This window comes from Homo sapiens, chromosome 4 (genome assembly GCF_000001405.40).
Source record: "Homo sapiens chromosome 4, GRCh38.p14 Primary Assembly".
In the NCBI taxonomy this organism is placed as follows: Eukaryota; Metazoa; Chordata; class Mammalia; order Primates; family Hominidae; genus Homo; species Homo sapiens.
The window spans coordinates 170,272,196-170,284,377 of NC_000004.12; the positions used below are offsets into that span (position 1 = coordinate 170,272,196).

A 12,182-nucleotide genomic window follows, 5' to 3' on the forward strand; every position below is an offset into this window, starting at 1 on the left:
ATGAGGTGTTGGACATAAGTCAATTTCAGAGACTTGAATCGATACAGCCTTTAGTACACTTTTGTGTAGTTCGTTTTAGTTTCTCGCATATTTTCTCATACTTAAAAATTCTCATGAGTTTAAAGGAATGTTGGTACTATTCAGGCTACTAAAGCTTGGCTCATGAATCTCAGGAAGTGTTCAATACTTTATAGTCAGGAAAAATAGATTTTGTATCTTGACCTTTACATTAAGCTTTTCTTTTCAGAACTATATTACCTTGCAAAGTACACAGGGAACTGGAGCCAGCTTGTGACCTTTTGTTAACATGTAGTTTTGAGAAATGGGAAAAAGGCATTTTTATTATCAGGAATTTTATTACCTAAAAGAGTTAGGAGTCAGTTGAAAGACCTGCCTTTCTTAAAAAGACAGCTAGCCATATAACTTTGGGACAGATACTCTCTTTTGGAGAATGCTGCAATGCCTGCAGTGCCATCCCAAGGCCATTATGTGAAGTGGGAAGCAAATAGATTACGGAAGGTGAAGATGCTAAGAGAGGCGAGGAAATACTTGTCATGTTGCTGTCAGGAACATACATGAACTTGTTTTTATTAGTTAAAATCAGCTTAATTAATATATAGGGGACTCTAGTGTTAATTGAAAATTCCCCTAGTGGATTAGAAGGGTAAGGGTGATTGGGTAGGGAGGTTAACTTGTTCATTTGTGTATTTTCTGTTTCTTTCCCTGGAATATATATATACAGGGCTTTGTTTGTTTGTTTTTTTCAGTGTTGTTTCCTTAGCACATTGCAGAAAGTCGGTAATCAGTATCTGGATAAATAAATGAATGCTAAAACTAGCCAACTAATTTCATTTTAAATTAAGACTTTTCAGGAATCACTATGTTTACTTATTACTCGCTAAGAGCTTGAAAGACTGTTCTAGGAAGGTAGATTTTATAGACTCAGGGAGTGGGTTGGGACTCAGGAACAATTAAATCAGCAGACTGTGAACTGTTAGCATGCTTTCTACAGTCACGAGGAAGAAGCAAGAGCCTTGCAAGGAATGATGGGATAGCGCCTTTATTGTGGGACAAACTAATTGCTTAATGAATAGCCAATAACATTTCCTCATACTCTGGTTTCTCTTTGGATCTTATAAACCCTTTGTCTTTTACCAAAAAAAAAAAAAAAAAAAAATCAAAACCAAAACCAAAAAACAAAAACATTTCCTTATGTAAAGGGACATGACTTTTAAAAAATATGAATATTTCCACTTTTCTTGTGGTTCTCCCTCCTGTCCTTCTGTCTTTTCAACCAGTTGTCAATCCTTGCCTCAGAAGAGTTTATGATTCTACAGAACAGCAAAGAAAAGCTTTTGGGTTTCAAAGGTATTGACTTTTATGTTGTAAAAATCTCAGGTCCAAAGGGAAAGTTGATGATATAAGAGTAAGGTTCCTGTTTGCATCCTTTTCTCCCACTGCAGGGTTGGGGAAAAGAAGCCCTCTGCACACCAGAATTACCCAGAGACATGGAACACTTAGCACTGCATCATATGTTGGCCTTACAGAGGTCCTCCGTATTCCAATGTGAGGAAGGAAGTGGTGGTACATTTGCAGAAGGCACTAAATTAAGCGACTCTAATGAACCAGATAGAAGGGACCACTGCAACAGGATTTAGTTTCCTCCTCGAACCATGAAAGAGACCAGGAGAGAATAGGCCTTCCTCTTTGGCAGCCAACATGGAAACAGGATGAACAAGACCAGGAGGAGGTTTTCCTCTGTTTCACAGGTATTCCATAGTCACTGGAAACTCATATGCATCCTGGAAAGCAGTAATATTGACTTTCCACCACAAAGTCAAAGTTTGCAACAGAAGCTAAGTTGTTATAAAAGAAAATAATTGCTTTAATATACGGACTGAAATTTGCACCCAATGCATTTAGATTTTGAATGTTACTGTTCAAAAAGCCAAGTCTGAAGCCAAATGTTTTTTTCTTTCTCTTTTAATGTTGATTTGCTTTTTCTGCCTGGATGCTTCAACAATTCTAACTTCATCTTTAAAATTTAGTAACTTAATGAGAATATACCTGGCTTGCTTATTCTGCAACAGCTTTCATATTAGAAGATATATTTTAAAATTTTTATTTAGTTTTATTCAAAATTTAAAGAAATACTTTTGTATTCTTTCTCCATATACCTTTTCTTTCCTATTTTTCAATGATTGATAGATGTCATTTATCTGCTATTTATATTCACCAATTTCTTTTCATTAGCTTTGAGCTTTTTGTCTTTTTCTCTCTGCATTTATACATGTTTTAAGACATTTTCCATGCTGTAATTTCAATTTTTAACTTGTTTTCTTCTGTTTCTAATTTATGTATTAGGTCTATAATAATAGAATCTTTTGTTTCTCATTTTTTCCCCTTTAGCACTTCAGTTTCCCTAATTTGTTTTATCATCTTGTCTTTGAGTTCTTTTATTGAATTCATTTTCTTCTAAATTCTTTTATACTGTGAAGTACTTGTGGGAAATAAGTTCTGTTCTTTGGGTTATGTCTTCTTGATGATGGATTCTTCATATGTTATTCACTAGCTAATTTTTTTTTCAACTGTAGTCTGTTGCCATTGTTTCCGTGGCATGCATTTTCATTCGGTTATTGGTTAACAGAGTGCTTTGTCTGGAAGTTTCTGTTATGACATAGTATGGGTAAATTCTCTTTGCTATAGTTCCTTTGTTTTGGAGAGTTGTTTGATTGTTAATTTAGGTGCTACATTTTGACGGCTTGGTTGTCTGTTCTATCGGCTTTTCTGAAGCCTGAGGGTTCAAGGATTAAAGAATTATAACCCTTGTTCTGGACAATTTGGGTTTGGCTTTCTCACTGAAATCCTACAAATGTCTCCTACTAGGGACTACCTATTTCCATTAATATTATCTATTTTCTCCATCTGAAGGTGGTAAGTTCCAGTATCTGTTTTTGTCTTTCTGAGATCCTCCAGGGGTGCGATCCTCCAGGATCCTCCAGATCCTCCGGGACCTCTAGTATCGAATATCTTCCTGTGTCTTTCTACTCAGCTCTCAGTCACCCTCTCTCTAAGTTGGAGGACATTAGCAGCATTCTTAGAATTTCTTCAACCTACTCTTTTTCTTTAGTAAGGTTTTTGGAGAATGAGAATCTGTTGGGTGTCTTGTTGGATTCCATGGTATTTATTTATCATACCTATTGTGAATATTCACAGCACTTGCTATAACATTTTGATGTATTTGATTATGTAGCACCACCCCTAACATGCCAAATGTAATGCAAAGTTTATACATACATTTTAAAATACGAACAAATCTGAATTTCTGACTTATGTTCTGTTTCCATTGCTTGACATTTACAGCATGAAGCTACTTCCCTTCCCTTGTTTGCTTGCTGCTGGTAAATTTGAGGCCATTTACTTTTTCTTTATTTAAAAAAAAAATCTTAACCCGAAAGACTGAGCTATGACTTCATATTAAGCTTTATAGTACAAGGCAAAAAAATGAATTCAAAATAGAGAGTTATGTAAAACCAAGTGTATTCATTCAATGAGAGTTCATTTTTAACTCTCTTGCCATTATTTACTGGGAACATAAATCTATTGTATTTTAACTTAAAAATGTAATTGTGCTCTAGATTCCAATTATCTTTCTTTTCTCAGCATTGTTATCAAACAAGTCTTAAAATGGGAATTTCAGTGCTTTTTGAATGAATTAATGTATTTTAAAATTTTCCTATATTTTACATAAACACCGTTTTGGAATGTGACTTTTGATAAAAATATTCCTCCTCAGTGAAATGAACCATCCCTGCAACTCTTACAGCAAATATATATAGTTATGCTAGTTTTATCTCTTCCCTGATGGGAAAGCACACAATTATCTATAAGATATTTCAGCCTGTAACTGTGTTTTATCCTTCTTTGAAGAACCCCCCCCCAACACATGTCTGTGTGCACACCCAAAACAGCTTTAATATTACTATAATAATATAGCAAAATGTTTGACGCTGGGTGCTATAAACTTTAATAAATGCAATGCAGTTTGAGAATCTTAACAAATTTCTAAGTGGACTCTTAAAAAACAGACTCTCAATACCTAAATCAGGATTACTAAAATGATTGCTGAAATGAAGTGTTTTATATTTCTATTGAGAAAGAAATATAAAATACAATATTATTATTATATGAGAAGTTTGAAAGAAAATATTCATTATCTCAATGTTTTTGGACCAAAAAAAAAAAATCTTAGTAAAAGTAACGTAAATACAAAAAAGTCTTCATTTTGCTTAACATATAAACATTTTCAAGGAAATTAAACATATCTGGTAGTTTTTAAGAAAATTAAAACTAGAAAATTTGATCCAAATTGCATGTTCTTTTCAGGAGCACGGACTATTCTCTCATGTTGAATGTGGCACTTTTTACATACAAGCAGGAGAGCAACTACACCAAGATTTTGGAAAACATGTTATGTAAGGTAAGATACTACTATTTCTAGTTTAGAAAACTGGAAATCATTTTCTATGAAGAAAAAGTAAGACTTCCAGTATTTAAAAAATTGACTAAATATGGCCAGGCATGGTGGCTCACCCCTGTGATCCCAGCACTTTGGAAGGCCGAGGCAGGTGCATCACTTGAGGCCAGGAGTTCGAAACCAGCCTGGGCAACATGGCAAAACCCCGTCTTACTAAAAATGCAAAAAATTATCCAGATGTGGTAGTGTGTGCCTGTAGTCCCAGCGGCTTGGGAGGCTGAGGCACAAAAATTGCTTGAACCCCGGGGGGGTGGAGGTTGCAGTGAGCCAAGATCATGCCACTGCACTCCAGCCTGGGTGACAGGTGACCAAAAAAAAAAAAATTTGACTGCCTTTAATAACTATGGCAATTACTGAAATTTATTAAAATATTTACTATCATCAAACATGTGCTACTGTTGTTAATCATATGTATTCTTTTGTTAAATACAGACATTGTAATAATACCCCAGACAATAGCAAAATGCTAACTATTCTTTACTTGTTTACCTATTCACCTAAATAAGAGCAAATTTACTAGTCTTCTATTTTACTTATGGGAAAAAAACCCATTATTTCCTTAAATGAAGTAAATCATCAATTAAATCAATAAAAGAACTGATAGTCTATAATCTTAGATCCCAGAATTTTTCCCTAGATACTTTTAGTTCTACTGGGAACTATAGTACAATAATATTTGAATATTATTAAATTATATTACTTATAAAATTATCAGCTTCAAGGTGTAGATTTTTATTGATCTGATTTTTATTAGCTTAGGTAATAGTTTTCTGTCTTGTTTTTAATCTTTCTTAAGCCAAATTTTATCCCTAAATTAGAAATGTCCTAGAAAGGAGTCTCTCATGCTGAACAGCTTTCTACTTTTCAAGAGGACAGCTACCCTTTCTTTACTTTCTGCCCACTTGTGCTAGTATCTGCTCATTGTGGGAGAAACACACAGTCACGCTGTGTTTAAAGTCATGCTCATGGCCAGGCACAGTGGCTCATGCCTGTAATCTCAACATTTTGGGAGGCCAAGGCAAGAGGATCTCTTGAGCCCAGGAGTTTGAGACCAGCCTGGGCAACACAGTGAGATCCTATCTCTAAAAAAAAATTATAAAAATAAAAAAAAGAAAAAGGAAAAATAAATAAAGTCATGATCACTAATCTCAAGTGGGCCCTTAGTGCTGTTGGCAATTATACTATTTTTCCCTAGTACTTTAATTCTTCTGCTCTGTCCTAGATAACTGTTTCATTCCTTTTCTTTTCTTTTTTTTCTTTTCTTTCTTTTTTTTTTTTTTTTGTTTTGTTTTGAGACAGAGCCTTGCTCTGTCACCCAGGCTGGAGAGCAGTGGCATGATCTCAGCTCACTGCAACCTCCGCCTCCCAGGTTTAAGCGATTCTCATGCCTCAGCCTCCCAAGTAGCTGGGATTACAGGCATGTATCACCATGCCCGGCTAATTTCTATATTTTTTAGTAGAGACAGAGTTTCACTATGTTGCCCAGGCTGGTCTTGAACTCCTGACCTGAAGTGATTTGCCCGACTCGGCCTCCCAAAGTGCTGGGATTACAGGCGTGAGCCACCATGCCCGGCCTCATGCATTTTCTATTTTCAAAACTCTAACATGTTCTTTCCCTTTCTCATTTTCAGTTTTTATTTTTAAAATCAGGAGAGAATTTCTGCAACATCCTATGACCACAGATCCCTACCCATCTGCATTGGGGCACTTACAGATCACCTTCTCTTCTGAACTTTGTATGAAGTGACCATGTCCCTCCTATCCCTTTCCATGTGCACAAGATCATGTCATCTCTAGCTTATTCAAAGACATTGCCTTAGCAATCTGCCCTTGCCTTCTGTTTCATCAGTTTCTAAGCAACAACTAGAAAGGCCAAAGCCTTACAGGACCAGTCTGGCCAAGGCATAGCTACAGCATCTTTCTCATCTGTCTAGCAGACAGTTTCTATTAGATCATTCCCACAAGTACATACAAGCAGACTTACATTTCTCACCTCACACTTTATAAAAAACAAACAACTCCCCAGGCACCCACTTCTCCTCTCCAGGTACAGCCCCTTTGTTATCCTTTCCTCTACAACTAAACTTCTTAAGAGAAATTTCTATACTAGCTGTTTCCTAGTTCTTCCTCATTTTCTCTTGTGACTTCACTCCAGTCAATCCAAGATAACCATTGACCTTTCTGGTGTCAAATCTAACATTTATTTTTCAGGCCATATCTTATTTCATCTTTCCACAACATCTGATACAGTTGATTCCTCTACTTCACCTTCTTCACTTTGCTTGAAGGACACCACAGAAATAGAACATGGCCAGACTCAGAAGTGCCCCTGGGACCCTCTTCCAATTACCATCATTTTCCTTCTCTCCAAGTGAGCCACTTTCTAGCTTTTTATCATCATTACTTTCTTTCTCTTATAGCTTTTCCATTTCACCATGGATTCCTAAAAATTATACTTGATTTTTGTCTGTTTTTTTTTGAGCTTTCTCTAAGGGATTATGCAAAAGACATTATTTTTGTGTCAGGCTTCTTTTATTCCACATCATATTTATGAGCTATATCTGCATTGAGAAGAACTATAGGAGTAATTTTCTTCACTTTATACTAGTTCATCAGAGGAAAATATCACAATATATTTATTCTACAGTTGATAGACACGTGAATTTGTCTGGGATCCAGTTCCTGGACCATTTCAGACTCGTGTTCTAGCCTGGCTTCCTAGCTGAGGTGTCTTAGGAATGGTGGTACTGTTCCTAGCTGCTGCTACAGATGGGAAGCCTTCTGTGCTATGCTGCCTGGTGAGAAAGATGCTGTAGCTATGCCCCAGCCAGATTGGTCCTGTAAGGCTTTGGCCTTTCCAGTTGTTGCTTGGAGAAATTGCTGACTCACCTTGGAAAAAGGAGGAGTTAACAGCTCATGGTGGATTTTGACCAATGGAAGATGGAGAAGAGGAAGAAGCTGAGGATAAATTATTTTCTTTTCCAATCACCAATAAACAGATACATGTGAAATGAGGTACTTAGATGGCCTCTTAGAAAACATCCTGGGAGATCAAGGCATCAGTTGCAATTGCTGTCAAATAAAGGCCAGTTCTGTTCCACTTCCCCTGTGTTTTCTCCTCTTCTTTCCATACCTAATTTGGGATTCCTTTTCGACTCACTCCTGTGTCTCTGGAGTCATACTCCTCAATAAAATGGGAGCACGTACACTTTTGACTAAGGCTCTGTTTTCTAGAAAGCCCAGAAAATCCCTCCCAGGACCAGCTACATAGTTGGTTGGACCAAGTGCAATAAAAATACAGGGGCTTTTGCTCAACAATTATTAAGAATGTTAAGATTATGGCAGTAGAACATTAAGCCAAGTGGAGCCCTTCTAAGCCCTGGGTCCTATGTGACCTCACAGGTCATGTGTCCATGAAGCTGACCTTCATTCCTCCCATTCAGCTCCCCACAACCCCCAGTCCTCCAATTCTCCATACCCCTTCCTCAAGTCCTCCACTATTACTTGTTCATGTGTGCTGCTAGAAAATACCTATCATTTATCTATCCATCTTTCTATCATCTCTATATGTGGATAGGTGCTTTTTTTTTTTTTTTTTTTTTTTTTTTTTTGCCAAACACTAGTTTTCAAAGATGAAGTGCTATTTTTAAAGGGACTCTATTATCCTGGGGAAAAATGTTTACGTATATTAGTGAGGAGGAATTTTTAATGATTAAGAAAGATTATGTCTGTTACACATACTACCATTTGATATATGACAGCTTAACTTTTTTTTTTTTTTTTTGAGACAGAGTCTCGCTCTGTCACCCAGGCTGGAGTGCAGTGGTGCAATCTTGGCTCACTGCGAGCTCTGCCTCCTGGGTTCACGCCATTCTCCTGCCTCAGCCTCCCGAGTAGCTGGGACTACAGCACCTGCCACTACGCCTGGCTAATTTTTGTATTTTTAGTAGAGACAGGGTTTCACCATGTTAGCCAGGATGGTCTAAATCTCGTGATCTGCCTGCCTTGGCCTCCCAAAGTGCTGGGATTACAGAGCAAGAACATCGCCATCTTGGACAAGCCCCTCATTCTAAAGTTTACCTTAATAAAAAAAACGCCTAAATCCAAAGGGCATCAGCCTAATGGTTAAGGGCAGCATGAACATGAACCACAAATAACATCTCCAACCAGAAACATTCCAAGCTCCTCCCCAGCCAGAGACATGCTAGCCCTGAGATAACCCCCCTCCAGCCAGGAAGTTGCCAACCTCAAGATAACACTCCTCTGGCTAGAAAGATGTCGTCAGCCCCAAGATAACCTCCCCTCCTCCCAGAGACATTCCAACCCTGCCATAAAACTTCTCCCTCACACAGAAATATTCCAAGCTTGTAATAAACCCCCTCACCCTAAAACCAATATATAGTCTTAGTCTGTAAGAGAAAGTGCTCCTGACTGAAATCGGCCAGAAGCCCCTCTCATGTTTTATCTAAAATAAACCCATCTTTACTGTCAAGCCACGTTTCATGTTTCTTTCCTATTTCTTTAACTCTTACACAAACTTAATTATTTAATATAGTCATATATAGTTCACCCATATTACTGCTTTATTATTTTAAAATGATTTATTTGGGTGTTTATTAAGTCTTGATTAAGCACATTTACACACACATGTGTCACAATTCTTTGACAAGTTTAAGTTCAGTTCTTGGCACAGGTAGGCATCCCATAAATGGTATTATTCCTGCTTCCCTACCATAAGTCAGTAGCTTTTCCCATCTTTTTCTTTTCCTATCATTGCCCCCCTCCTAGGATTGTCAGATTTTGCATAAATAAAGGTTAAAATTTTTAAAAATGTAAAAATTAATAATTTAAGTATTAGTGAAAATACAGAATGCCCAGTTAACTTTGAATTGTCAGATAACATAATTTTTAGTATAAGAATGTTCCAAGCAATATTTGAGATATAGAGGTATATCCAAATACTTCCCAAAAGTTAAAAAGAAAAAAACCTATTCATTGTTGACTGGGCACAGTGGCTCACGCCTGTAATCCCAGCATTTTGGGAGGCCAAGGTGGGTGGATCACGAGGTCCAAGAGATCAAGACCATCCTGGCTAACACGGTGAAACCCCATCTCTACTAAAAATATAAAAAATTAGCCAGGCATGGTGGCACGTGACTGTAATCCCAGCTACTTGGGAGACTGAGGCAGGAGAATTGCTTGAACCTCGGAGGCAGAGGTTGCAGTGAGCCAAGATCACGCCACTGCATTCCAGCCTGGGAGACAGAGCGAGACTCCGTCTCAAAAAAAAACAAAAACAAACAACCTATTCATTGTTTATTTGAAATTCAAATTTAACTGAGTTTCCTGTATTTTCACTGGCAACCCTACCCCTTCCACCACTTTGGATTATAAGGTCTCTGAATACAGGCTTATGCATGCTACACTGTATCTTTACAGTAAAAAGAGCAGCGGTAGCTTCTTAATATGTACTTATAGATTGGAGGAAAAGTCTTTGGGATGAAAAGCATCCCAAACAATCAGATATTTCTTTTTTTGGTATTTTTTTTTTTTTTTTTTTTTTAGTAGAAATGGGGTTTCACCATGTTAGCCAGGCTGGTCTCAAACTCCTGACCTCAGGTGATCCACCTGCCTTGGCCTCCCAAAGTGCTGGGATTACAGGCATGAGCCATTGCGTCCGGCCTACAGTCAGATATTTTTATATAATTTCCCTTAGGACCTTCTAAGCCTAGATTGTTTATTAATAATTTATGATCCTATTTATCACGAGCACTGCCTGGAAGTTTATAAGGAAAGCTGTACTATAAGGGAACAAACATTTACCTTGGCAATTCTATAGCGTGCCAGCCCAGGAAGACAGTCGCATACAAACCTTTGTGTGTCTGCCTTTGTTCCAGAAGATGAATTTATAATGGCCCTTCAGAGACAGAGATACTTTTTGCATTACTCTATAGTTTTCTGCTTTCATCTGGGCAAATAATGTAAACTTAATACAACTTTCTTTGTCTTTTCTCCCAGGTTAATTGTGACCTCTATGATGGGGATATGATAAAGAAGAAAAGTACCTCACAGCGATGATTGGCATGTGATCACTTAGCCAATGAGATAAGAGGCTGTAGAAACGATGTGATAATGACATCTCCTGAGTTGCAGGTCCATATTAGAAGTGGATATGAAGTAAACATTGAGCTTTCCTCACATTTAATTAACAAGCTTTATTATAGATACAGCTCAAATTAGTTAATTCAGGAAGCTTATTTTGTAGAAATTAAAACATTAATAAACACATACATTTAGAAATAAAGAACTCGGCTGACCCTTTGACTCTTTGAAACAAGTGGCCTTCCATGCTGTGAAAGATTGTAGCCACTCTTTGAGACATTGGAATGGTGTCCATTGCATTTTATCAAGTTAACTATAGGTCAGCCTGGGAAATCTGAAGTTTCCTTATCTCCTGTCACTGTGGTTGCTGTGAGATTTTGTGTCATCACTGTGCTGTCTTCCCTCTCCACATGAAGGTGAGCTGTCTGGCTTCACTCTAACGTTTGTGATTTCACGCCCGACCTGATTGTTGCCAAGCAATTCCTTTGTTTGGAGAATTCTGTGCTTTGTTTAGAATTTTTTAAAGGTTCTTTTCCTGTGGTCAGATTTCTGTTTGCTACTGTGTCTTATGCCTTGTTCTCCTACAGAGAAGATTCTTTGAAGTTAGTGGAAGCTCAGCTTAAAGGAAGATCTACTGCTCTGTGTGGTGGATGACCATGGGGGAGCGAGAAGGCAGCCTCCGGCTTTTGTTTTGTGTGTGTGTGTGTGTGTGTGTGTGTGTGATGTACCTGGAAAAATAACACGACTAGGATTAAAGAGTATGTTTGGCATGTTTAAAATAAATTGTAAACCAAACGTATTTTAAAGAATTTATACAAATTTGTCATTTAGTAAAATGAATGACTATTGAGTATTCATGTCAATAAAACAACCACTTGAATACAACAAAGCATGCGTTGCGCATGTTTCTCCCACTGTTTTTCTCCATCTATAACCTCCCTACTCATCAGTTTGAGATTTTTTATATGGAATAAGTGTGGTTCTTGCAAGGAAATTATCTTTAGAATAAGGATAAAGTATTTAAGAATATGTACTTAAAACTTAGCAAACCCATTGGAAAATGATCCAGAAAAATGGTATTCAGAGATAAAAATCAGAATGTGTTTGGGAGAAGAGCACTGACGAAGGTTGGTGTATGTGGCATGTAAATAATACATTGATTTAGATGGACTTTTACTATGGGGGAAAGCTCATCAAGCCTCACGTAATGAGTTAGTGTCTACCCTTTTCTTTGAAAATTTCATTTTCATTACAATGGGTTTTGGGCATTTGTACTTTGTTATCTCTTCAAGTTCATACAATTAAAGTGGAACTCGACTTCTTTTGCTTGGAGATACTAAAAATTCTGTGCAGTGGAAGGAACTGTGACCTTTCTTAAATGGGTCCATCTTCTAGCTCAAAAAAATAATTCTTAGATGGTGCTTTAACGCCTAGTTTTAGTGCAAGACAGATTGTCAGGGTAATAAATTAAAGGCACCTCACTGCAGCGCTGTTGGCCAATGTTCTACCACAGGCCCATATTAATATTTTATTCCCTTTAATA

General features: G+C 37.3%; 1 long non-coding RNA gene across 1 annotated transcript in view; it reads left to right on the plus strand.

Moving 5' to 3' along the window:
• The window catches only part of LINC01612 (long intergenic non-protein coding RNA 1612), a 57,133-nt gene extending 45,605 nt beyond the window's left edge, over positions 1-11,528 (plus strand). Inside the window, exons 2-3 of the long non-coding RNA NR_125889.1 lie at positions 4,387-4,480; positions 10,556-11,528. This is a non-coding gene — a long non-coding RNA (long intergenic non-protein coding RNA 1612). The remainder of the gene's footprint in view (positions 1-4,386; positions 4,481-10,555) is intronic.
• Positions 11,529-12,182: the final 654 nt, after the last annotated feature.